General features: G+C 33.4%; 1 protein-coding gene and 1 long non-coding RNA gene across 3 annotated transcripts in view; both read right to left on the bottom strand.

The window, feature by feature from the left end:
- EYS (eyes shut homolog) overlaps nucleotides 1-27,173 on the bottom strand; it is a 1,987,247-nt gene that overhangs the window by 1,495,853 nt on the left and 464,221 nt on the right. The window lies entirely within an intron of this gene.
- Nucleotides 1,797-10,767, bottom strand: LOC107986607 (uncharacterized). Its single transcript, XR_001744187.1, has 5 exons — nucleotides 10,692-10,767; nucleotides 10,130-10,196; nucleotides 9,062-9,140; nucleotides 2,678-2,775; nucleotides 1,797-1,858 (listed from the first exon to the last, which is right to left on the bottom strand). It is a non-coding gene; the product is annotated as an uncharacterized LOC107986607 (long non-coding RNA).

Raw genomic sequence — 27,173 nt, forward strand, 5'->3', positions numbered from 1 at the left:
TATGACTTGCTGAAGGTTCAGATGATTGTTAGCATATTTTAACAATGAAGAATTTTTCAGTTAAGCTATACATACTGTTTTTGTAGATATAATATTACTGTGGACTTAACAGAATATAGTATACTTTAAACATAACTTTATATGCACTAGAGAACAAAAATATTTTATTGCAGTGGTCTAGAACCAAACCTGTAATTTCAATGTAAGTCTTCACAGTGTTCTTTTGTCAGCATGGTACACAAAGATGTACTTACATATAAAGTGTTCTAATTTTTCATATAAATTGTAAATAAATGTGGCAAATGTTCACAGTTCTTAAATTAAGGACAAAAGCAAATATTATATAATTAAGTTCATCTTTTGTTCATGTTTATATATTTATATTTTATATATGCATAGTAATTTCTTTTTGAGGTTTGTCTTAAATGAGTAAAAAGTGTTTACATGAGTGAAGTGTGGGTTCTGTACACGTCTATATGACTAATGTTCAAATTGTATGAATACCCATACATATATAAGTTATTTATAGTGTGAATATATGCATTGTATCATGAAATATGAATAAGTTTATAATCCATGCTATAAAATGATACAAATTGTATTACTACTTTATAGCATTAATGTACACAAATATATTTAATTTACCAAAAATATAAGGTAAAAGTAAATAATATTTTTGTGAATTTTGAAACATTGTGGTGTGAGAAGCACTAGTTTGCTATTGTGGTTAAGGCACATTTTTATATTAGAATATATTGAGTTTAAAAATAGTACAGAATGTTTAACATATTAGCAGTAATTTCTAGGAAAAACCTTTATGAAGTTTAGTATAAATAGAATATAAAAAATAATTTTAAAATGATGTGATCAGTCATCAAAAGCATCTGATATATAAACAATAAAAACACAATCTTAAACTGTTATAATTTACTTGGCTTGCAAATATTTTATAATATAATATGTATACATATATTATACATCAAAATTTATTTTTGATGATATGCTTTTAGTAACTTATTCCTATGACAAATTTGGCAAGTAAAAATCAAAATTATTATCTAATTCCATTAACATGCAAAACATATCACAAAATTAGTGAAAACCTAATTTGAATAAGCCCACATTTAAATGAGAATTGCTAGGTCATACTAATCAATTAATCAACCTCTCAATCTAGAATGTATTGAACAAATGAGCCTCAGCAATACTGCTTAATACTTATGGTCCATTAAGCAAGACCAGGTGAATGAGGCAATCAAAATATTTTAATAGTGTATCCGATCAGGAGATAGTAGAATACTAAATGATCTGGTGGTTATTTTTAACAATATGTTGTGCTCTTGAGAAGTAAATGAATCTTGGAGGATTGTCAGCTGGAATCCAAACTCAATGTATCATTTTAAACAGTCACTTAATTTCTTGATTGTTTTAACCTGAATAAATTTAAGACTGTAGCAATTTTAGACAATTATCCAAATCTAATGTCTATGGTCATTTCATTCCATGAAGATGAAGTATTATGTATAGCAATGCTTTTTTCAAAGAAAAATGAATTATACATTAGAAATTATATGATCACTTATAATAAGGTATTAAACAATGAGAAATTTACTGTAAAGATGGCCTAGCATTCTAAAAAATGCCAATAAATATTTGTCAAACACTCTTCTAGTTGCTCATTTTTAGGGATGATCAAAACAGACCTGAAACCAGATGATGAGACGGGCTGGAGCAAAGGAAGGGAGCTCCTTTAATTAGGGTAATCACAGAAGGCATTTTTGAGGAAGTAATAGTTCTGTTGACATATAGGAAATAAGCAGGAATGCAATGAAAAGAGCCATATGAAAAGCCTTTTAGTCTGAAAGAATAAGAAATGCAAACGATCTTTATGAGCATGGAGCTAGGGATGTCAAAGTGTAAAAATAAACCAGAAGCTGGAAAGATAGGCCAAATACAGAAAATATAGAGTTTTCTGGGATGTGGTCAGAAGTTTAGATGTCATGCTAAGGACACTGACATGCCAGTAGGTTAAAAATATTATCTGATTTAAATATACACTAAAAATATTCTGACTTGCTGTGTGGAGATTGAAGAGTAGAAGCAAGAGTAGAAGCACTGAGACCAACTATGAAAGGTTTTACATTGTCTCCATTGAGAGATCTTGGTAACCTTTACTGAGGATGTCACAGCTGAATTAGATAATAGTGGATAAGTTCAGTTTATATTTTTAAATAGAATAAACTAGATCTGGGGGCTATGTGTGTGGTAGTTGAGTAAGAGAAAGGAATTAAACAAGTATCTTAATATTTTCCTTTAGTAATTAGGTAAATTGAAAATACTAAGAGAAGATAAATGAACATTAGATAGTATGGGGGATAGTTATAAAGCAGAAAGTGTTTTATTTCTGACTTTTGTATTTAATTCATCTCTTAAACATACCCTGATAGGGATACATAAGACCAACTTCTAAATAAGTCAATTACAGGAAAAAAAATTTAGTTATTGGCATGCAGATGGTATGAAGCATATTTGATGCTAACATTTTTTCTTTACCTCCCTGGTTTTGTGATACCTCACTGAGGTAAGAATGTGTTTTTTGAATGTATGATTTTGGTTTTGGATATGTGAGTTTCTTCAGCAAAACAAAAACAAAACATGAGTAGAGATGACAATGTACCAGTTGTAAGCTGAGGCTTTATTAGACATCAAATATTTTCACTCATTGGGATTTTGCCATTTGTCATGAGAAGAGCATACTCTGGGTACCTGTTGATCCTGAAATGAAAAACACATGAATCAGACTTCAACCTAGTCCCAGGCCTAAGTCTTTACTCTAGCCACTCAAGATTTGTGAGAAAGACAAATCGTTACAGTTCTAAATCACCAAACTTCAGATGTCTCACCAGAAATACTGTTAAATATGTGTCATATAAACAATGAATTCTAAATAAAATCATCTAGCCTAGAATGGAGAAAAAAATTAAAGAGGAATAAGGAGTAGGGCAATCTATCTTTTGTGGTCGGGTAGAGAAGAGAAAAGGGTAGAAAAATCTTGCAAAATACCAAGGATCCAAAATGAAAACAAAGCAAGTGAACAGTGATAGAAATCAAGATAACTTTTTTTTCCAAAAAGTAAAATAAGACAACTTCAGAATGCTAATGAGAGGTGGAGAAAAATGAAGACAGAGAAGTTATTTCTTTATTATGATCTCAGCAAGCCTTAATTTACATAGAAGATATATCTTCCAAATTTTGCATGATTTGAAGCACATAAAATATTTTAGGGGGCTCATAATCTTCAAGTAGGTTTATATGGCATTTAAATCAAGAAACAGTAAAGCTGTAATCATTTCTGGAGATGTTTAGACATATAAGCACACATACATATATTTGGATGGTAGGCATTTGCCAATACAGGAAACATGGTTCATGCTGCCAGATTTGACAAAGATTAAAACAATGGTTCCAAATAAACCGGAATGTTGATTTTCAGTAGAGGAAAAATAGAGAAAATTGGTGATTGGTAAAACCATACAGAATAGTTCACAACCTAAATTATCTTGGTGATTAAAATATAGTAGAGTGTTTGCCAAGTCTGCTTGTAAAGATGCTGGAGTATTAGCAGCTGAAAAGAAAAGATAACATTTTCTTCTACTGAGTTTAGAGAAACTTTTTTTCAGACTAAGAAATGTAGCTTTCAAGTATTAAGAAATATACCATGAGATTTACAATATTTTTTTCCTTCATTTGTGAAGCACTAGACAAATCTTTGTTTACATCTGTTTCTGAATTCCAGTGAAATGAAATAGCACAGAAGTCAAAAACAATAATTGTATTAGTCTGCTCTCATGCTGCTGATAAAGACATGCAAGACTGGGTAATTTATAAAGAAAAATAGGTTTAATGGACTCACAGTTCCATATGGTTGGGGAATTCTCACAATCATGGTGGGAGGCAAAAGGTACATCTTACATGGCGGCAGGCAAGAGAGAATGAGAACCAAGAGAAAGAGGAAATCCCTTAAAAAACCATCAGATCTCATGAGGCTTATTCACTACCATGAGAACAGTATGGGGAAAACTGCCCCCATGATTCAATTATCTTGCACTGGGTCCCTCCCACAACACATGGGAATTATGGGAGCTACAATTCAAGATGAGATTTGAGGGGGAGGCATAAAGGCAAACCATATCAATAATTGTATCTTTCTTCCTCTCATCTATAAGCCTCCATATTGATGTGATATAATCCTATAGCCTTGGGAAAACCTCTCTGCAAAACTATTTTTTTAAACTTTTTATAGGCTCAGATTTTTGCATTTTTATCCTTATTGTTTACATCAAAAAGACTACTTGCGATTTTTAATGACTGTGATTTTATTTTTAAAAGTATCACCAAATCCAGAAAAAGAAATATTGGAAAAAAAAATTCACTCTTCATTAGGTACATTTTTACCATGTACCTACCATGCACTAGACACTCTGCTAGGTAGTGAGGGTAACACTGTGATGATAAATGATAATATGGCTTGAACCCAGTGGGTGGTAATTGAAACATGAGGGCATGTTTTTCTCATGATAGTGAATAAGCCTCATGAGATTTGATAGTTTATAAAGAAAAATTCCTTGCACATGCTCTCCTGCCTGTCACCATGTAAGATGTCCCTTTGCTCTTCCTTCGTCTTCCACCATGATTGTGAGGTCTCCCCAGCATGCGGAACTGTGAGTCCATTAAGCCTCTTTTCTTTATAAATTACTCAGTCTTGAGTATGTCTTTATTAGCAGGATGAGAATGAACTAATATAGTAAATTGGCACCAGTAGAGTGGGGTGCTGCTGTAAAGATACCCAAAAATATGGAAGTGACTTTGGAACTGGGTAACATGCAGAGGTTGGAACAGTTTGGAGGGTTCAGAGGAAGACAGAAAGATGTGGGAAGAGTTGGAACTTCTCAGAGACTTGTGGAATGGTTTTGACCAAAATGCTGACAGTGATATGGACAATAAAGTACAGGTTGAGGTGCTTTGAGATGGAGATGAGGAACCTGTTGGAAACTGGAATAAAGGTGACTCTTGCTATATTTTAGCAAAGACACTGGTGACGTTTTAACCCTACCCTAGAGATTTGTAGAACTTTGAACTTGAGAGAGATGATTTAGGGTATCTGGCAGAAGAAACTTCTAAGCAGCAAAGTGTTCAAGAAGTGACTTGGGTACTGTAAAATCATTCAATTTTATGTATTCACAAAGATATGGTTTGGAATTGGAACTTATATTTAAAAGGCAAGTAGAGCATAAAAGTTCATAAACTTTGCAGCCCAATGATGCAATGGAAAAGAATAACCCATTTTCTGAGGAGAAACTCAAGTTGGTTGCAGAAATTTGCCTAAGTAATGAGGAGCCAAATGTTAATCACCAAGACAATGGGGAAAATGCCTTCAGGGCATGTCAGAGGTCTTCATAGCAGCCCCTCCCATCACATGCCCAGAGGCCTAGGAGGAAAAAATGGTTTTGTGTTCCAGGCCTAGGGCCATGCTGCTTTGCGCAGTCTTGGGACTTGATGCCCTATGTCCCAGGTGTGGCTAAAAGGGGGCAACATAGAGCTCAGGCCATTGCTTCAGAGGGTGCAAGCTGCAAGCCTTAGAGGCTTACACATGGTTTTGGGCCTGCAGGTGCATAAAAGTCAAGAATTGAGATTTGCATAGATTTCAAAGGATGTATGGAAACACCTGGATATCTGGGCAGAAGTTTGCTGCAGGGGCAGGGCCCTCATGGAGAACCTCTGCTAGGTCAGTGTGGAAGGGAAATGTGGAGTTGGAGCCCCCACACAGAGTGCCCACTGGGGCACTGCCTAGTGGAGATGTGAGAAAAGGGCCACTGTCCTCTAGACCCAAGAATGGTAGATCCACTGACAGCTTGCACCATGCACCTAGAAAAGACAAGACACAAAATGCCAGCCCATGAAAGCAGCTTGGAGGGGGGCTGTACCCTGCAAAGCCACAGAGGCAGAGCTGCCTGAGGCCATCGGAACCCACCTCTTGCATCAGGGTGACCTAGATGGAAGAAATGGAGTCAAAGGAGATCATTACGAAGCTTTAAGTTTTGGCTGCCCTGCTGGATTTCAGACTTGCATGAGACCTGTAGCCCTTCCTTTTGGCCAATTTCTCCCATTTGAAATGGGTATATTTACCTAATGCCTGTACCCCCATTATACCTAGGAAGTAACTAACTTGCTTTTGATTTTTCAGCATTATAGGTGGAAGGGACTTGCCTTGTCTCAGATGAGACTTTGGACTTGGACTTTTGGGTTAAGGCTAAAATGAATTAAGACTTTGGGGAACTGTTAGAAGACATGATTGATTTTGAAACTTGAGTGCATGAGATTTTGCAGGGGCCAGAGGCAGACTGATATGGTTTGGCTATGTCCTGACCCAAATCTCACCTTGAAATGTAATAATCCCCATGTGTCTTGGGAGGTACAGAGTGGGAGGCAATTGAATCATGGGGGTGGGATTTTCCGCTGTCCTTGTGATAGTGAATAAGTCTCATGAGAACTGATGGTTTTATAAAGGGGAGTCCCCTGCACATGCTCTCTTGCCTGCCATCATGTAAGACATCCCTTCGCTTTTCCTTCATCTTCTGCCATGATTGTGAGGCCTCCCAGCATGTGGAACTGTGAGTCCATTAAACCTCTTTCCTTTATAAATTACTCAGTCTCAGTATGTCTTTATTAGTAGCATGAGACCAGATTAATACAAAAGAACACAGAATTTGGCCTCATTTAACCAAAGTAAAACAGAATCAAACGGAAATATAACCATGAAAGTTTTACAAGGATGCATATATAGTGCTAAGGAATATGATATGCATAATTGGCCTACTTTGTGAAGTCACAGGATCTTTGCTCAGGAATCAACAATGATTGAGTTACAGAGAAAAATCTGAATTAGATACATGGGATAGCAGAGAAAAGTGGATTTGTCAGGAACGAGAAGATATCACAGTAAGAAGAAACATGGTGGCACCAGCTTAAAGAACTAAAAACGGTCAGTTTGTCTGGATAACAAAACATAACAGAAAACACGTGAAATAAGGATGAAGAAGAAGTAAGAGTCAGGGTACACAGCAACTCACAACAGAACAGCTAAACGGAAGTGATTAAGAGTACAGACCTAAGGACGACATCAACAATGATGGTAAGAATTCCAAAATTCAGTCCCTCTACAAAAGCAATGATAAATTTAACAAAACCTGTCAGAATCAACTGTTTTAAAGCTCTGGACCTCTAATCAAAACCTCACAATAAATAGGGGAATGTATGATGATGAAAGAAACTGCCGACCAGCCTGACCAACATGGCAAAATCCCATCTCTACTAAACACAAAAAATTAGCTGGGCGTGGTGGTAGGCGTCTGTAATCCCAACTACTCAGGAGGCTTAAGCAGGAGAATCACTTGAACCCAGGTGGCGGAGTTTGCAGTGAGCCGAGATCATGCCATTGCACTCCAGCCTGGGCAACAGAATGAGACTCCATCTCCAATAACAACAACAAGAACAAGAACAACAACAACAGAAACTGCCAAATATTAACAAGAGAACATATGACATTTTAACTTACCTTCTATCATCTTCCAGTCTCTAACTTAGTGCTATTTGTGGAGATAAGTGGTCTATATTCCTAGTGTGTCTAGCTTGTGCCAGAGGAGGCAAAAATGACTGTTTTCAAAGACATATGATGTGTGTTGATATGTTTGGTGGGTTGCTGAGGGATTGGATCTGAAGTTTGCCTTTATTGAGAATATTGCCTAGAAGTATTCTCAGTCTAAGAACAGCACCTTATATCACATTTGGCAAAAGCATTTATAGCAAAGTACACTACCACAGTAGTCTAGGACAATGGATACCATCCAGGTCAAGTAGCAGACAGATGAAAAAGCCTCGGAAAGAAGAGACTGGGGAAGGAAATTGGCAGGCTGCTTTTCAGGGTCCCTCCACTGTGGTACCAGTTGGTCCACCACATATAAGACTGTACTCAACCTGGGCAGCTTTCCTGTCTTGGAGTACCAGCTCACAATGGATACTAGGCTCTGATCTCCCTTGCTGCATATCTGTAAGTAATACATTCACTTAAGGTAACTTGTACACGAGTGTCCTGTCTCACTAGACTCAGACAAGTTGGTAACCAGTGCACAATGAAGTTGCTTGACAAGATGACTTGAGTAACACTACAAACCAGACCTAACAGACATGCACAGGATAGTCCATCCAACAACAGCAAAATACCAACAACAAAATACAAATTCTTATTAAGTTCACATGGAACATCCTCTATGTATTAGGCCACAGCAGTCTCAAAATATTAAAAAAATTGAAGTCATACAAACTATCTTTAGGGATCACAATGAAATAAGTATAGATAAAAGGAACAAAAAAGTAGAGTTCATAAATATGTGAAAATTAAATGACACACTCTTAACCAATCAGTCAAAGCAGCAATCACAAAGTAAATTCTAAATAAAAAAATATGTTGAGACAAATGAAAAAGATATACAGTATGCCAAAACTTACAGACTGCGGTAAAGGAGTACTTGGAAGAAATTTCTATCAATAAGTACCTACATTATAAAAGAAGAAATATCTCAAATCAACAACCTAATGTTACACCTTAAGGAATCAGAAAAATAGCAAACTAAACATGAAACTGAAAGGAAGAAAATAATAAAGATTAGAGTGGAGATAAATGAAATCAAGAAATGAAATACGATAGAGAGAATCAACAAAACTAAAAGTTGGTTCTTTGAATTGACAAACCTTTAGCTAGATTGACTAAAAAAAACAGCAGGAGAGAATACTCAAATCACTAAAATTAGAAATGAAATTGCAGATGGGGACATTACTGCTATTTTAACAGAAATAAAAGGATAAAAGGATTTATAAGAATACTAAGGAATACTTAGTTCTATGCCAATAATTTATATAACCAAAACAAACTGGACAAATTCTTGAAAAAATACAAACTACCAAAAATGAGTCAGGAAGAAATGCAAAATCTGTCCGGACTTACCATAGGTAAAGTGATTGAATTCGTAGTCAAAACCTCCCCAAAAAGAAAACACAAGACGAGATGGCCACACTGACAAATTCTATGAACATTTAAAGAAAGTTTTTCAGATAATATCAGAAATTTTCAGATAATATCAATTTTTCTCAAATAGAAGATGAAAGAATACTTTCTAGCTCATTCTGTGAGGAAAGTGTTACCCTTAATACCAAAGTCAAACAAAAGGAACAAAAATTATACACCAATATATCTTATGGATATAGTTAGAAAACTTTTCAATATATGTATAATATATAGAAAAATACAGAGAATTGAAATATAATAATCAACAAAACTAAGTCTAAAAACTTTTACAAGAAAACTAAAAACTAATTATAATGTATTGAAAATATTTGAATCTATAATATAATATATAATTATAATTATATAGTATAGCAAATATAAAGCAGCATATTAAAAATGGTAAAAACATTGTATACCCTCACCAAGGGGGATGTATCCCAGAAATGCAAGGAGTTTCAACATAGAAAACCAATCCACATAGGCTGGGCACGGTGGCTCACGCCTGTAATCCCAGCACTTTGGGAGGTCGAGGCGGGCAGATCATGAGGTCAGAAGTTAGAGACCAGCCTGGCCAACATGGTGAAACCCCATCTCTGCTAAAAATTCAAAAATTGGCCAGGCATGGTGGTGGGCATCTGTAATCCCAGCTACTCGGGAGGCTGAGGCAGGAGAATTGCTTGAACCTGGGAGGTGGAGGTTGCAGTGAGCCAAGATTGTGCCATTGCACTCCAGCCTGGGTAACTAGAGCAAAAAACTCCATCAAAAAAGAAAAAAAAAAAAAAGGAAAAGAAAACCAATCCACGTAACTTTAATTGAAAGAGACCAAAAAACTACATGATCAACTCAATTGATGAAGAAAAAAATAAGATTTGCAAAAATCCAATGCACTTTTGTAATAAAAACACTCAAGAAACTACGAATACAAGGGAACTTCTTTAACATGATAAAGAGCATTTGTGAAAACCCACAAATATATTATATTCAATAACAAAAGATGGAAAGTTTTACCTTTAATATCAGGAACTAGACAGAGAAATCTGTTTTTACCACTACACTGGAAGTTTAAGACAGAAAACTATGCAAGAAAAACAAAGATATCTCTATTAGAAATAAAAATTAAATCTATTTATATTTAAAGACTTCATGATGTTATATATAGGAAATTCTTAAGAATAGTAAAAAAATCTATTAGCATTAATATGCAAATTCAACATGGTTGTAGAATACATATCAACACACTAAAATCAATTGTGTACGTATATACCAGCCATAAACAAATTTTTAAAAATTAAAATCTCAATTCCATTGCAAGAACATATAAAACATTTAAATATTTAGAAATAAACTTAATCAATGAATAAACTAACCAAGAAGGTGTAAGGCTCTTACACTCTAAACTGCAGAATATTACTGAAAAAAAATTAAAAAACTAAATAAATGAAAATACATCCTGTGCTCATAATGGACTCATTAACTCAACAAAAAGACAAGCAACCAATTTAAAAATGGACAAGGGACTTGAACGGACATTTCTCTAAAGAAAATAGTAAACAAATACATAAAAATATACCCAATATCAATTGTCAATACGGAAATCCAAATCAAAGCCACAGTGAGATCCACTTCATCCTGAGTAGAACAACAACAACCATAAAAACCTGAGAAAAAACAAGTATCATTGAGGCTGTGGAAACATTATGACCTTCATATATTGTTTATAGAAGTATGAAATAGCGAGACCGCTGTGGAAAAGAATGTTAGTTCCTAAATAAGTTAAAAATAGAATTACTGTATGACCCAAGAATTTTATTCCTTGGTATAAACTCAAAAGAGTTAATAGTAGTTGTTCAAATCAATACTTTTATACAAATTTAGTAGTGCTCTTCACAGTAGTCAAAAGGTAGAAACGCAGTCATCCAAATATCCATCGGATGATAAATAGACAAAATGTGGCATAACAAACAATGGAATATTATTCAGTTATAAAAGCAAAATAAGTGGCCTAGTGCAGTGGCTCACGCCTGTAATCCCAGCACTTTGGGAGGCCGAGGCCTGTGGATCACCTGAGATCGGGAGTGAGAGACCAGCCTGATCAAAATAGAGAATCCCATCTCTACTAAATATACAAAATTAGCTGGGTGTGGTGGTGCATGTCTGTAATCCCAGCTACTCGGGAGGCTGAGGGGAAAAACAACAACAACAACCAAAAAAAAAAAAAAACAAGAAGTACTGATACATGTTGCAACATGAAAGAATTTCGAATGTGAATATGACATATTTTCTGAATTATTCCACAATATATGACATGTCCAGAGTATGCAAATTCAGAGATGGAAAGAAGTTTAATGATTACAAGGGGCTGAGAAGTAACAGTTAATTGGGTATGAGTTTTCTTTGTGAGGTGATAAAACAGAAGACACCAGTTTATGTCTATTAGGAGGGCTATTATTTAAAAATACACATATAAGAACATGAAATAATTAGAATTATCTGCACTGCTTGTGGAAGTATAAAACGATAAAGCCACTGTAGAAAATGATATGGCAGTTCCTCAGAATATTAAGACATAAAATTGATGTATGATCATATTGATATATGATCAAGCAATTCTACTTCTAGGTATAAATAAACGAATTGAAAGCAGGAACTCAAACAGGTATCTTAACACTAATGTTTATAGGAGCATTATTAATAATAGACAAAAGCTTAAATATCTGAAATATCCATACATTGATGAATGAATAAACAAAATGTGGTATAGCCATAAAATGGAATATTATTCAATCTTAAAAAATGAAATTATGATACATGATACAGCATAAATGAACTTAGACAACATTATGCTAATTGAAATAAGCCAGACAAAAAAAGGACAGATATTGTTTGATTCTACTTATATAATGTATAAATTGAAATTCATAGAGACAGAAAATAGAAGAGTGGTTACCAGAGGCTGTGGGAAGGGGGAAATAGGCGACTATTGTTTAGTGGGTAGGGAGTTTCAGTTTGGGATGATTAAAAAGTTCTAGTAAGGAATAAGGATGATGGTCACATAACAACGTGAATATATTTAATACTACTGAATTATATGTTTTAAAATGGGTTAAAATGTTAAGTTTGATGTTACATATATTTTAACACAATTTTCAAAAATAGATGCATCCATAAAAAGTCTATAGCTAGCGCAGTCTATGTGGAAACAAGGATATCCACTTTCTCCATTTCCATGCAACATCGTACTGGAGGTTTTTAAATGGTGAAATAAGACAAGGAAAATACAGAAAAAGCACTCAGATTGAAAAGGAAAAAATAAAAGTATTGACTAATGACATAATTGTCTATGTGGAATATCCTACTAAATCTATTAAAAATACTGAAACTATTACATGTGTTCCACATGGTTATAATATTTCAGTAACATTAAATATATAGTAAATCTGACAAAAATATGCAAGACCTACACATTTAAAACTTCAAAAGACTGTTGACAGAAATTAAAGAATATCTAAATAAATAGATATATTGTGGTCATGGATCATTAATAATACTTTTCCTCTTTTACACTATTGGCTTTTCTCTAACAATTTGATCCTAACAGCTTTTAATCATGGTGAAAACCCTACCATTTGAATCAATACTTTCAGATATTAATTCTCCACAAATTGATCTACAGATTAAGTATAGTCCCAGTGAAAATCCTAGCAGGTATTTTATAGAAATAGGCAAGATGGTTTTATAAATCATGTGAAAATGCTACGAAAAAAATAGTAATACAATTGGAGTTCTAACACTCTCTGACTTCGAGACTTGTTATAATGCTGTAGTAATCACAAGAGTGGTGGTATTGGTAAGAGAGAAAGACACACTTGTTAATGACACAGAATACAGAATCTACAAATAATCTAGTTACATGGTCAATTAATTTTGACAACAGTGTAAAGGCGATTCAGTGGGAAAGAGCATTTTATCAAATGATGCTGGGAGAATCAGATTGTTGTTTCAAAAAAAGAAAGAGCCAGTCTTAATCCATACCTTGCAAGATATACAAAAATTAAGACAAAATGGATTATAGACCTAAAAGTAACCATAAGGAAAGAAGATTCTTGAGAGTAGACAAAATTGAGCAAAGAAACTGGTAGAAGAAAAACCAAGACAACACAATTTCACTGAAGCCAAATAAACAGAATTGACTTTTAAAAAGAAAAGAATGCTTCATTGGATAATGCTGAAATGTTTTAAAAGATTAAGATTAGAAAGTGTCCAGTGTATTTAGCAAGATATGGACCATTTGAACAACTAGTGTTGCGGCTAGATAAACAAAAAAGAAAAAGAAAAAAAGGAAGCAGGTTTTAGACAGTAATTTTTAGAAAACAACTTTTTCGTTGAGCAAGAGATTTATAGGGAGACAGCATAGCAAGGATGTTGTTTTTGTTTGTGTTATATAACAGTAGAGAACTGAGCATGGAACAAAAAAGAGCTTTTGGTCCTAAAGCTCTTAGGACCAAATTGGTGGAGAAAAGTCAATTGTATAGAAAATAACATGTACTATTAATAAACGAAGTTACAGAAAAAAAAAAGTGGCAGAATCCGGAGCCCTTTCGGGAAATTAGACAGAAAGAAGGTTCTCTAATGTAAGAGAAGACAAGAGTGCAGATGGGTGTGGTTTTAGATTGAAAGAAGAGAGAGAAGTTCATGGATAGTGAGTTTATACTCTTTCTAAGACTGGAGCTGGGTGGCAAGTTGCAGAAATCAGAGGAGGGTGAAGAAAAGTGAAAAAACATAATGTTGAAGAAAGTGACAATGAGTGAAACTGAGAAGTCTCAAGTGTGATATCTGGACAGTTTGCTGTGTCCATTTTAGATATGAGATGTTGCATTTACTGCAAGACAATTCTCCTTTATTGTGAGGTAATACAGTTTTGTGTAATTGCCCAGTTGAAGAAGCAGAATAAAGTGCACATGGGTCTTGCCAGAGATCTATGACACATACATAAATAATCCACGGGTCTTAGGGGAATGTTTCTAAAATAATCAACCATTTAAGTAATAAGGGGAAATGAAAAGAAAACAATGGCTGACAGACTGTTAGAAAGTATAGGGGTCAATGAACTATGAAAAGTGAATATTTATACAATAACCACTTGAGTAATAAAGGGTAGAATCCATCACAGACAGCTTGCAGTTTAAACAACTGTTCTTCTAATAACACAATAGAAGTAATCTAAAGATAAATTAAGTGATCAAATCCTTAACAGAAGGAGTCACATTTCTTGCCATTTTTTACTTTCATGTGATTTTCTCCTAGATTACACTGTGTTTTGTTCCATAACTGGACAGATTTTAAAATCCAATAAAGAAAAAAATAAAAATAATTGGCGAATAGCAGAGCATCCAGAATGATTGGTCCAGGTTTAGCAACCATCTATGAGGTCAATGTGTTAATACAATTACCCATGTATAATACAATTATTCATGCATACAATTAGTTTTCCCCCCAGAAGATTATTTTTATACAATGCCATACATTTTAATACCTCTTTTTAACTTTAATATGAGTTGCTAATCCTCGTCCCTTAAAAATGTTTTCAGAGAGAAAAATTTACTGTCTTGGTTAAATGCAATTATCAACAATGCAAAATTTATTTTCATGTCTTTTTTTTCCTAGAGAGTCTGTATTTGAACAATGGGCCTATCTCACATGTGGAGGGCCTCCCCTCATTTTTCACATACTCCTGAGTTACAACGTTGACAATTATTTTTCTTTGAGTCATATCTTTTTTCAGAGAGTAAGGCCTGAAATTTGTCTGGAATATCCCTCTTTTATATGAGTAGAAATTTTAAAATTTGCAGTAGTAATATGCATGTCAAAGCTATCATTGTTTTGGGAAAAAAATATTTCATTGTGTTACATGGCATGCTCTTAATTGTACAGGTGAAGTGATGTTTTACTTTTACTGGCAGTATTTAAGAAAAACAAAAAGTGAATATATATTTCATACTAGGCTTAATAACTGGGTGATACAATAATCTGTACAACAAACCTCCATGATACTAGTTTACCTATGTAACAAACCTGCACTTGTACCCCAAAATTAAAAGTATATATATATGTACTTTTATATATATATATGTGTATATATATATACTTTTATATATATGTATTTATATATATATACTTTTATATATATACTTTTATATATATACTTTTATATATATATTTTATATATATATAAAGAAAATATATATATATTTTCTTTTCAGACATATATATCTGAATTTCTGTTGCTTTTTAAGCAATAATATCCTGCATATGATTATTTTTGGCTTATTTCTCTGTGTATTAGATCAGAAAAAATAAAATATATAAAAATCACACAATTGTGTATGAATATATGCATGTATTTATTTGAATGAAATCCATTCATTAAAACAGTTAAATTCTAAAATTGTTCTATGTCGCTCAAATTCCCTCTCTGTGGTGTTTTATTAAAAGAGAGGATTGGGGAGAGACTCTTTACCTAATTATGAAATAATACATTGTGTTGGCAGAGAAAATCATCATGATGGCTCAAAGCCAATAAAGTCTGTATCACAGATTTCAGTTTTTTTCACCTTGACCATAAATACACAAATGGATGAACAGCAAAGGATAAATGTGCTATCAAGGTTTGAGAAAGTTATAGGTACAGGCAAGTTTTTCTTCTGGAGTGTTGCTTAATAATTAAATTTAATAATGAAACATTGATAGATATCCTCTTAGTGAAAATACATCATCTCCTTTGAAAGACTCCAGTCATGGGATATATTTATAATTCCTTAAATCCTTAGTTACCGAGAAATATGCAACTATGCAGTCATATGATTTAAAAACAAAAGGCACTCTAAATCAGGAGAAAGCAAGTAGTGGTATGAATAGTTCCCAAGTCTTGTGGTTGAAAAAGATATAAAGGCTTCTCCTGAGATTAAGCTGGAAAACTCACATAGCAATTAGTGAATCCAATCTATATGCCAGTGTAGGCAATGCCACTATTGTGTGCAAGACCATATCTAAGTGTTTATATTTCTTTTTAAAATGTTCTATATTTATCTATAAAATACACTATGTAAGTAAAAAAGCAGGTCTGTAGAAGATATGATACATTATATTATATACAGTTTCTTCAGCCTTCTCTTTTCTGAAGTTCCAAGAGACATATTCCTAATCAGTCCAAGTTGCATATGTCTATGTTTATGTCTCTGTATTTGTGCACCATTGCATGGTGGAGCTACCAGAACTGTGGGTGCAGATATAATGTCCAAAATTAAAATATAAATCCTTACTACATGACTACAGAGAAGAAAAAAGTAATATTTGATTTCCCATCAAATCACGCATGTGGTACTTTCGGAGAACAAATATTGCCTAAAACCACTGTGATCTACTGTATTAATGGACTCCTCAAAAGTGACTACTTTCTTATAATTAATCTTTCAATTATTTTCCAAAATTCTTAAAGTCCAAATTTCTTAACATGCTCTATAATAATAAGGATAAAATCTTTTTTTATGCCTCAGTCTCATGCTTAAACGTTTGAGTAGTTTTAGATTTGCTGAAAAGTTACAAAGATTGCACCGAGTTCCCATATACCCCTCACCCAGTTTCTCCTCTTATTAACAGCTTAAGATCTGGCATTTGTCACAATTAATGAAAATAGTGATTTATTAACTGAAGTCCATACTTGATTTAGCTTCTGTTTTTACCTAATGCCTGTTTTCATTCCCATATAGAATACATTATACTATTTCCAAATTAGGTCATATTCTAAGGTACTGGAAGTTAGAACTTCAACATATGAATTTGGGTGGGGAGTGATAATTTGACCCATAATAACCCTCAAGGTTCTAGGCAATCACTAATCAACTTATAAACTGCCTATTCTAGACTTTTCATATAAATGGAATATTATAGATACTGTGACTTTTTCACTTAGCATGTTTTCAAGATCCATCAATATTGTCACATGTGTCAGTACTATTAGTCTGCTCCTGTGAATTTTTCATTTCAGTTCATTAAAGAATTTCCTTTGTATTTCTTATATCTGTATCTTATTGATATTCTCCATTTGATATGAAATTGTCATCATGCCATCCTTTATTTAATCTTAGTGTCCTTTAATTCTTTGAGCATGTTTTTAAGAGCTGCTTTGAAGTCTTTTTTGGCTAAATTTACCATGTAGGCCCCATCAAAGACAGTTTTTCTTGTTTGCTTTTTCACTGTGTATGGGTCATATTTTCTTGTTTCTTTGCATGTGTCATATATTTCTGTTGCAAGTGGGATATTTTCGGTAATATGTTGTAGCACCTATGAATACATTACCCACCCCTCCATCTGGCAGTGGTTATTATTGCTGCCGTTTGCTTGGTCATTTGTTTGCATAGTGATTTGACTGAATTAACTCTGTGAGGGATATTTTCCTTGCAGTGTTTTCCCTGATCATATTTTCCCCTTATTTTTAATCTTTGAGTCTAATATCTAGAGGTTGTCCCAGGAAGAATATAGCTATTTATTGTTGAAACATTTTGCATAAGCTCTCCTTAGCCAGTTGGAGTTTTACCCTTTTACTGTTGGATATGTGTGTGTGGCTTGGAGGCTGCAATCATTATTTAGGGAGTTTATGTCAGTCTCACATTCAACAGACTGCCAGCTTGGAGGTTCCTTCTCTTATTGTACTTTAAAGGGTGCAGCCTTGTTGGGCATGTACAGTCTTCCAGAAAGCTGAGGATAAGTGTTATTTTATCTTTACGTTTAGCTTCTCTAGTAGCTACCTCCATGTCAGAATAATTAACTGTTCAGTCACTGTTTTGCTAGAAGTTGTGTTTAAGCTCCTTGTGTCTATGAGGTTTCTACCCTGTGTTGATGGGTCTGCATGTAGCTTGGAGAATGTTTTCATTTTCATGCCTTGACCTGCTCAGATTGCTCCTGAGTGAGGGCAACCCAGCACATGCACACAGCCTTCCAGAAGCCCTGAGTTGACTGTGATCTCCAAAGGGACATCCTGGGCTGTCTCTCTTCCTGATTCTATCACATTTCCGGCTGCTCTGTTGTTCTGTGTATATTATGGGTCTACTAGCCTCTTCTTAGTCACTGCCCACCAAGATCTTCATTATTTATTAATAGTGTCCTTAGGCATGGAATTCTATGCTTTTTGTACCAAGTAAACCCAGTCATCTCAGACAAATCTGCAGAGCTCTTTGTCATACGGCCAGCCTCTCCTGTGGGCAGAACCTCCTGCCACAGCATCAGAGCTGGGTGGAGGGAACCATTTTTTCTCAAAGTGGTACTCCGGCTCTAAGAGTAAGCAGTGGATGGAAGTGGTGTTATTATTTCCTGGTCTTTCTGGTTTGTTCTTTCTATCAAGGAACTCCTACATTACCAGGGACCTGGGCCACAGGCAATCAAAGTCTCAGATTTCTTTGCTTGCTATCCCTGAGGAGGAACTTCTTCTCTACCAGTGAGGGCTATGTAGATATCATTAGTTTCTATATATTGTGAAGTGATGTAGCCTTTGGAGCTCTAATTGAAGATCACCATCATTTCTACAGCATTAAAACACATTTCCAATTTGAATCAGATTAATTGATTTGTGATTTTATTTAACATCTCCTTTCTTACCAATCACTACAGTTGATACTGGAAATGCCAAGATGAATAAGACACACAGAATGCAAAGTATTTATAATCCAATGTAACAGATAGATATTAAAAAGAAACACAAACTATACTATTTATATTGTCAGTTAGCAGGCATAAATATGTACAAAGTGTTTGTATAATATGGAGATGCCTCTGTGAGATATGTTGATGCCAAAGAGAAACAATCTCATTAATTGAATTTCCAGGATTTAAAGATACTACATAGCTAGTGACGTTTGATCTTTTAAAATTTCTGCAGGAATTTACTAATAAATTGGGAGTAGATTGGGTAAAAATGCCTGCAAGTAAGAATATAGAATAAAGTCACAGAGGAATTTGGAGCATGATGTGTTAAAATAACTAAAGGAGTTCAGTATGGCTAAAGCCATATTAGGGGTGGGTGAAGAATATTTTAAGGTTCATTAAAGTTTTATCTTTGCAGCATTAAATTGTCACAGAAACCAAGATGCATTGGCTAGCATTGCAAGAAAATATTCAGTATATGAGCCTAAGCTAGATGTTCTGCCTTAAAATATTGGTGGAGAATTTTGTAGTTGTGCTATTACAGAGGATGTCAAGATTTCATTCTTCAACATGGAAAATAGTATAACTGATTTACTTTGTTCAAGTTTCTCTTAAATATGCAGAGAGGTTGTCATCCTTAATAGTACTGTGACTGAGCCACATTTAATCTACTGGAAGTAAATTGAAATAAATGGAATATGTATGACACTATGAAGAGTTGGATGTATACATGTGCAATGAAAATATGTGGATAAACTGCATAAGACACAATAAGGAAAAAAGCTATAACAAAAGTAGTTGGTATGAAGGTTTGGCAATTTTTATTCTATAGTTATTTCACATATCATATTTCTCCTTTATATAGTTCATAATGCCAAGAGGTACAAGCTGACAGCTACAGTAGGAAATTGAAGCATGAATTAGGTGATGTAGATTGTAATTCCAGCTCTTTATGACAATTTTTGCCACTCTGAACAAGTCGCTAATCTTCAGAGTTTGAGCTTCAATATTTTAAGATGGCAAAATTATGTGATTCTGGTAATTTACATTCTAGATTATTTAGCAAAATTTTCCTTGATTTTTGAATTATGTGTGCACCTCTTAAGTAACAAAGCAAAATATATACATTGTAGTACTTTGTAATAATCATTATTATGAGTAGCATTAATTTGTTAGTTTGGATTATATCAGCATTGCTTACATATGATTAATGACTCTTTAAAGGGAAAAAAAATCTTGAGGATCTTAATATTACCAGAATTTCTATTATGTTACTTAAAATGTACAAAAATTTTGGCATATATTTCTTAGGCTTACATATGTGATTCTGCTAATTTACATGTTAGATTATTTAGGAAAAATTTCCTTGATTTTTGAATTATGTGCACCTCTTATGTAATAAAGTAAAATATTTATAGTAATTTGTAATAAATATTATTAGTAGCATTAATTTGTTAGTTTGGATTATATCAGCATTTCTTACATATGATTAATTACTCTTTAAAGGGAAAAATATCTTGAGGATCCTAATATTACCGGAATTTCCATTATGTTACTTAAAATGTACAAAACTTCAGGCATTAGGTCATATTCTAAGGTACTGGAATACATTTCTTAGGCTTACATACTCAATTACACCATAACCTAAAATTACAAAGTAAATATAAAACCCGTAAAATGGGTCTGGCACGGTGGCTCATGCCTGTAATCCCAGAACTTCTGGAGGCCAAGGCAGGTGGATCACGAGGTCAGGAGTTCAAGACTAGCCTGCCCAATATGGTGAAACCCCGTCTCTAGTGAAAATACAAAAAATTAGCCGGGCATGGTGGTGCACGCTTGTTTTCCTAGCCACTAGGGAGGCCGAGGCAGAATCTCCTGAACCTGGGAGGTGGAGGTTGCAGTGAGCCGAGATTGCACCACTGTACTCCAGCTTGGGCAACAGAGTGAGACTCTGTCTCAAATAAAAAAAAAATAAATAACAGTATCATTTTGGCAGATGATGGTTTGTGGCTACCAAATATATGCTTATAACACCTTTATGGTACTGACTTCAGTGGTACAGTTTCTTTTACATTTAATAGGTAGAAACTTTCATGTACTATGACTATAAAGCAAAGATTTTACTGTTTTCCTCAAAGCTAATTACTGTGAAACTTTCGTCACAGCAACTTAGGACCACTTTTCATCTTTGCCTGATGCAAGCTAAGCATTTGTAGATTAAATCTCTCTTTATCTTTTCTTTGGCCAATACAATGAATGTGGTTTCTGCTTATGTGAGTGTTCAAAAACATAAATTAAAATGAATATACTGAAAATGATTAAGTTGGGTATAAGGTCGTAGATGTGCTGAAGACCAATTTTGTTTATGCTCTTTTTCTTTCACTTGAATATATTAACACGTTTTTACATTTATATTAAATACAAAATGAAAATCTAAAATATAAGCACATAATAGAGAACTGGGTAAACCTGGGTAATACATCTACATTTTCCAGGAGTAAGCATATGCCTTTACGCGAATAAACGAAAGCCAAATAAATTTGTATAAAAATTAGCTCTGCACTTTGCTCACTATAACTGTTTTTGCATATACCCAGATACTATTCAAACATATACAAGTCAGGGGCCTCTTATAAAGTCTATCATCATGAACACTTAGGACACTACTTGAACTACAAAGTATAAGGAATGTTTTAGAAATATCATTACATTTTAGAACATTCTCTAGAGACTTGAATAGTATAGGTTTGTATCATTATAACTGAATGCAGATTTCCAGTAGACCTTCCACACTGATCTCAGATATCTAAAAGGAGAGGGATTTGTGCCATTTAGGCAAAAGGGGATTAAAGAAGTGACAGTAGGAAAAACTGAAAATAAAGAAATACTCCAGCCTGGGTGACAGAGTAAGACCCTGTCTCAATCAATCAATCAATCAAGGATTGTGGTAGTGCTATAAACCACATTTGTATAATTGCATGGGCAAACAGTTATGCTTTTGGTGTCTGTTCCTCATTTACGATTCTGATAAATAATGGTATGTCCATCTAAGGTTATTATGAGATTTAAATGAGTTCATAAGCAGGATCTGCTGTTTAGGACCCATTGCTAACATTGAAATACTGTTATACAAATTCTTCATTTTTTGAACTAGTAATTATAGATGGAATGATGTATGGGTATGCAAGAAATTGATATCATACAGTGTATTTGGTAAAAGAATGAACATTTAACTGATTACAGTGAATCATGGCCCATTTTGGCAAAAGAAAAATGGTAAAAATTAAGACAGTAAAAATTACTGATTTGTGTTTCAAATGATCACAAAATGGTCATGTAAAACCATAAAGTACAGTTCTCTTTCAATTACCAAGATTTGTTCATAGTAATGGCTTTAGGTATATGTATATAGATGGAAACATTTTTCTTTTTTACCAAAGTTTGATTTCAGAACTTTAAAGTCTAACAATGTGAATACTATATTATACAAAAAGTAGTTTGCTATACTTTTATTCATTTTCTATTAATTCCTGTTATATTTTTTACTCTCAAATACTATTATGTAAAGATAATTGCCAAACAAGGTATATAATCCTTTTAAAAATATAATATATATATAATATATGTAATATTCAAGATAGGCACACCAATACATGAATCAATAATACTAGAATCACTTTTTATCCATTTTCAATTAATATTTCACTGTCACTTGTCAGAAGAAATAATCCAAAGCATCATCATGATTATATTGAAAAGTTATCTCATTTTGATCTCTGAAGCGCTGGGTTTGAATCCTAGGTTTGATTTTTAGTAATTTTGTGATCATACCCAAATTATTAGACCTCTTTAATCATAGTGTTCTATTTCTGAAATAGAAGTTAATGCCTTTTCTATTCTTTGTGTGTGAGAGAGGGAGAGACAGAACTAAAAATAAAGTGTACGAAAGCACTTTTAAAAAATAATGATCCACCATAATGTTGTTATTGCTATTATGACTAACATGATAATCATAATTTATGGTTACATTCTTGAACTCCTCTCAAAAGAAAATTAAAATTCAGAGCAAAACCTTTCCATATATTGCTGGTTTTAAATCTTATTCAATGGCAAAAGGTAGGAATAGCCAAATATTTTTATGTCCTGTTCCACAAAATTTCATTTAAAAGTATTAGAAATACCAATAAATAAAACACCCAAATTTTGGTAACATAACTGAAGATGAACAAATGCTACAATGACAAGTCAGTTACATGATTAATATAAAATTACAATCATATTAATATGCTTAAAAAAGTTATTGGAAGAATGATAGGATGACAAACAGCTGCCATATTCTTCTCATTATAGTTCAAAAAATAAGAGCTGAGAATATCATAGGCTTACTAAAATTGAGCTTGGCTAAAATATTTTGTCAGGTAATCTCCATTTTATTGCCCTTAATCTCCATTACATTTCTGGTTTAAAAAATGTGTAAAAATTAGTCTGCAGAATGAAAAACTCATAGACACAGGCCAAAACAAGACATATCCTGTCTTCACAGGGTGATGCTCATTGTCTCCTAATCATTTATTTGAAATGAGAGCGTAAAAATAACAATTACCACAATTTTTAAATTAATAAAGCATTTCTATATATTATTTTGACATAAATGAATCAATAAATTATAGACAAGAATCACCCTTCACATGTGACCAATAAGGTTTACAAAAATATCTTGGTACAAATTATAATCTGGATATTTTTGTTAACTAAAGGCTAGTTTAATATATAAAAATTATCTGAAAGTATAAACTTTGCTAAATACATAATGTAAATTTTCATATATTTATTCTATTCAATTGGCTAATGCCCACTCTAGGATTTTAAAAATTCTTTTAAAATTTTTGCCTTTAATATTTTTTTCACCTACTATTAAGATGACTCCAGATAAACAAGCAGATATAAGCAGAAATGTAACAGAACCTCATTAAATGAACAAATTTGAAAATCTTCAGAATTTTGTGGGTTTAGAAGCTGGGTGCAACAAGAGTTGATATTAAAGAAAATGGTTTTTGAAATTAAGATATACATATTTATTTGTGAAAGGACAAATAATATTAAATGCATGGCTATGTTTACCTCAGTTGTATAATACAAAATACTAATACCATACATGTAATTCTAATGGGTAACTTTCTAAACCTCAAATTACTACCCTGATGAATGTTTTACTTTGTACTATAAGCAGAAAAAAAATCTGTTAAGAAACTAACATTAAACACCTGTACAGAAAACATATCTGATTTTAAAAATCCATGTATTTGTAGCATATATATTTTGATTTTTTTTTTTTTTGAGACAGAGTCTCACTCTGTTGCCCAGGCTGGAGTACAGTGGTGCCATCTCAGCTCACTGCAACCTCTGCCTCCTGGGTTCACACCATTCTCCTGCCTCAGCCTCCCAAGTAGCTGGGACTACAGGCGCCCACCACCACACCCAGCTAATTTTTTGTATTTTTAGTAGAGACGGGGTTTCACCATGTTAGTCAGGATGGTCTTGATCTCCTGACCTTGTGATCCACCCGTCTTGGCCTCCCAAAGTGCTGGGATTACAGACATGAGCCACCATGCCCGGCTGATTTTTTTAAATTTCAAGTTTTATTTTAGGTTCAGGGGGTACACTTGCAGGTTTGTTACATGGGCATATTGCTTGATGGTGACATTTCAGGTATGAATGATCCTGTCACCCAGGTACTGAACATCGTACCTAATGGTAGTTTTTTCAGCACTTGCCCACCTCCTTCCCTCCCAACCCTCTCTAGTAGCTCCCTGTCTCTATTGTTCCCATCTTTATGTCCATGTGTACTCAATGTTTAGCTTCCATGTATAAGTGAGAACATGTGGTATTTGATTTTGTGTTTTGCTGTTAATTACCTTAAGACAGTGGCCTCCAGCTACATCCATGTCACTGCAAAGGATGTGATTTTGTTCTTTTTTATGGCTGCATAGTATTCTGTGGTATATATCACCACATTTTTTTATCCAGTCTACCATTAATGGGTATCTAGGTTGATTCTATGTATTTGTTGTTGTGAATAGTGCTGCAATGAACATACAATTGCATGTGTCTTTTTAGTAGAACAATTTATTTTCCTTTGGATATATATCCAGTAATGGGTTTGGTGGTTTGAATGGTATTTCTGTTCGAAGTTCTTTGAGAAATCTCTGAACTGCTTTCCATAGTGGCTGAATAAAGTTACATTCCCATCAGCAGTGTATAAGCATTCCCCTTTCTTGGCAACACAATTTTATAACAGATTTTTCCTCTGAAATATCTACTTGAAATTCCTGACAGTGTTTTCCTAAAACATTTTAACATAAATAAATGCATAAATATTTTTCTAATTATTTCATTTTAAATACAAATACTTACTAATTTCACTTTACATGGTAGAAAATGACTGGTTTTGTTAAATATTTTGAAATTAGACTTACATAAAAATGGAAGATCTTATATATAGTTATTTTTCACTGATTCAGTCTTCTTCCTTTCACATTGTTAAAATAATATGTTAAAAGTAAAATCACGAAATAGATATACTCATAAAACTTACTTGAATTTAAGTGACCATTTTATTTATGAAAGTCCTCTTTGCTAGTTTTCTCTTTTCTTGTCTGTTACATATAATGATTGAGTTACAGTTACACGCATAGCAACATTTTCCATTGTGCCCCTGTGTTAAGTATAGGCTTTTATTCTGTTTCTATTCTGCACTAAAGAGTCAGTAGCAAACAAGTTTATAAACATTTCAGAGCTGGATGCATAATCAAAACTCATAATCCACTCCAACACCCACTTTTTTAAAATCAAGACCCACCTAATTTTCTTTTCCCTCTGGTCTAATTTTTACAAAAATTTCATTTTGTAATTATTTATAATAATTTATATCTGCAATTTCTGCTTTGATAAAACTGGTATGTCAGGAGCCTCCATCCATGATATATTGTATCTTTGCTTATCAGTTAAAGGAGTCCAGAAAATAACTCTCCCCTTCCTATGTACCATATTTATGGTTTCACACTTGATTTTTCCTACAAAGTTGGAGGGTATTTCTTAAAGTTCTATATGTGATTATCTAACCTTGCTTGGACAGAGAAAGAGTAAATCAGGTGTTAGCTTGTACTTTAGGGATTGTCTTAGGCAGAATATTGACTCCTTCTGCTTCCCTAACACTTATTAACGAGTCAATTTAGCTATTCCTAATGTGTGCATGCGTGTGTGTATTTCAGAACAATGTATTATATATACAATTTATATTTGTCAATTAAAAAATGAGAATATTAAAAATAGTGAATTAGAGAAAATATTGTGCAAATTCCAGCAAAATTCCTACAGATAAGTTTTTAAATGAACATTTAATTTGATTACCTGTATAATGACTCCATTACACTATTAAAAAATAGCTTTATGTGTAAAATTTCTATGTATTTTTTAAACAGCTATATTGAGATATAATTCACGAACTATACACTTTACCATTTAAAGTTTGCAATTCAGTGATTTTAGTATATTTAGAAATTTGTGCAACCATCATCACAAATCTAATTTTAGAATTTTTTTTTTAACCAGGAAAAGAATCTATTAGCATTCAGTTCCCATCTCCCCATCTGCTCTAGGTGATCAATAATGTATTTTGTGTCTATGCATTTGCCTTTTCTGTATATTTCTTATAAATGGTAATGACCAATATGTTGTCTTTGTGACTGTCTTGTTTTTAGCATAATTTTTTAAGGTTAGTCCATTTAGTGGCATGCGTCAGTATGTCATTCCTTTGTATCGCCATCTAATCTTTCATTGTACAGATGTAACATATTTCATTTATCCATTCCTCAGTTGATAGACATTTGGATTATTTCCATTTTTAAATTTTTATTAATGCTACTGTAACATTTTTGGACAACTTTTCTGTAGATACATATTTTCAATTTTCTTCAGAACATGGAAGAATTGGAATTGATGGGTCATATGATAAATTTATATTTAACATTTTGAGGACTTGCCAAAATAGTTTCCAAAATTGCTGGATGATTTTACATTTTCACTAGCAACATATTAGGGTTCCCATTTCTCTACAACTTAATGGAAAATTATTGTCTATATTTTTATTATATTTGATCTAGTGGTTGTAAAGTGGTAGCGTTTTCAAGTTTAGACTTGTATTTTTTTTTAAATGACTAATGATGTCAAGTATATTTTTGTGTGCTTACAGGCCACTGCTGTCTTCTTTGAAGAGGTAACTACTTAAATGCTTTGCTCATATTTTAATGTGTTTATTTCTGTATTGTTATTGAATTGTAAGTGTTCTTTATAAATT

The sequence above is a fragment of the Homo sapiens genome, chromosome 6 (assembly GCF_000001405.40).
Source record: "Homo sapiens chromosome 6, GRCh38.p14 Primary Assembly".
Taxonomy (NCBI): Eukaryota; Metazoa; Chordata; class Mammalia; order Primates; family Hominidae; genus Homo; species Homo sapiens.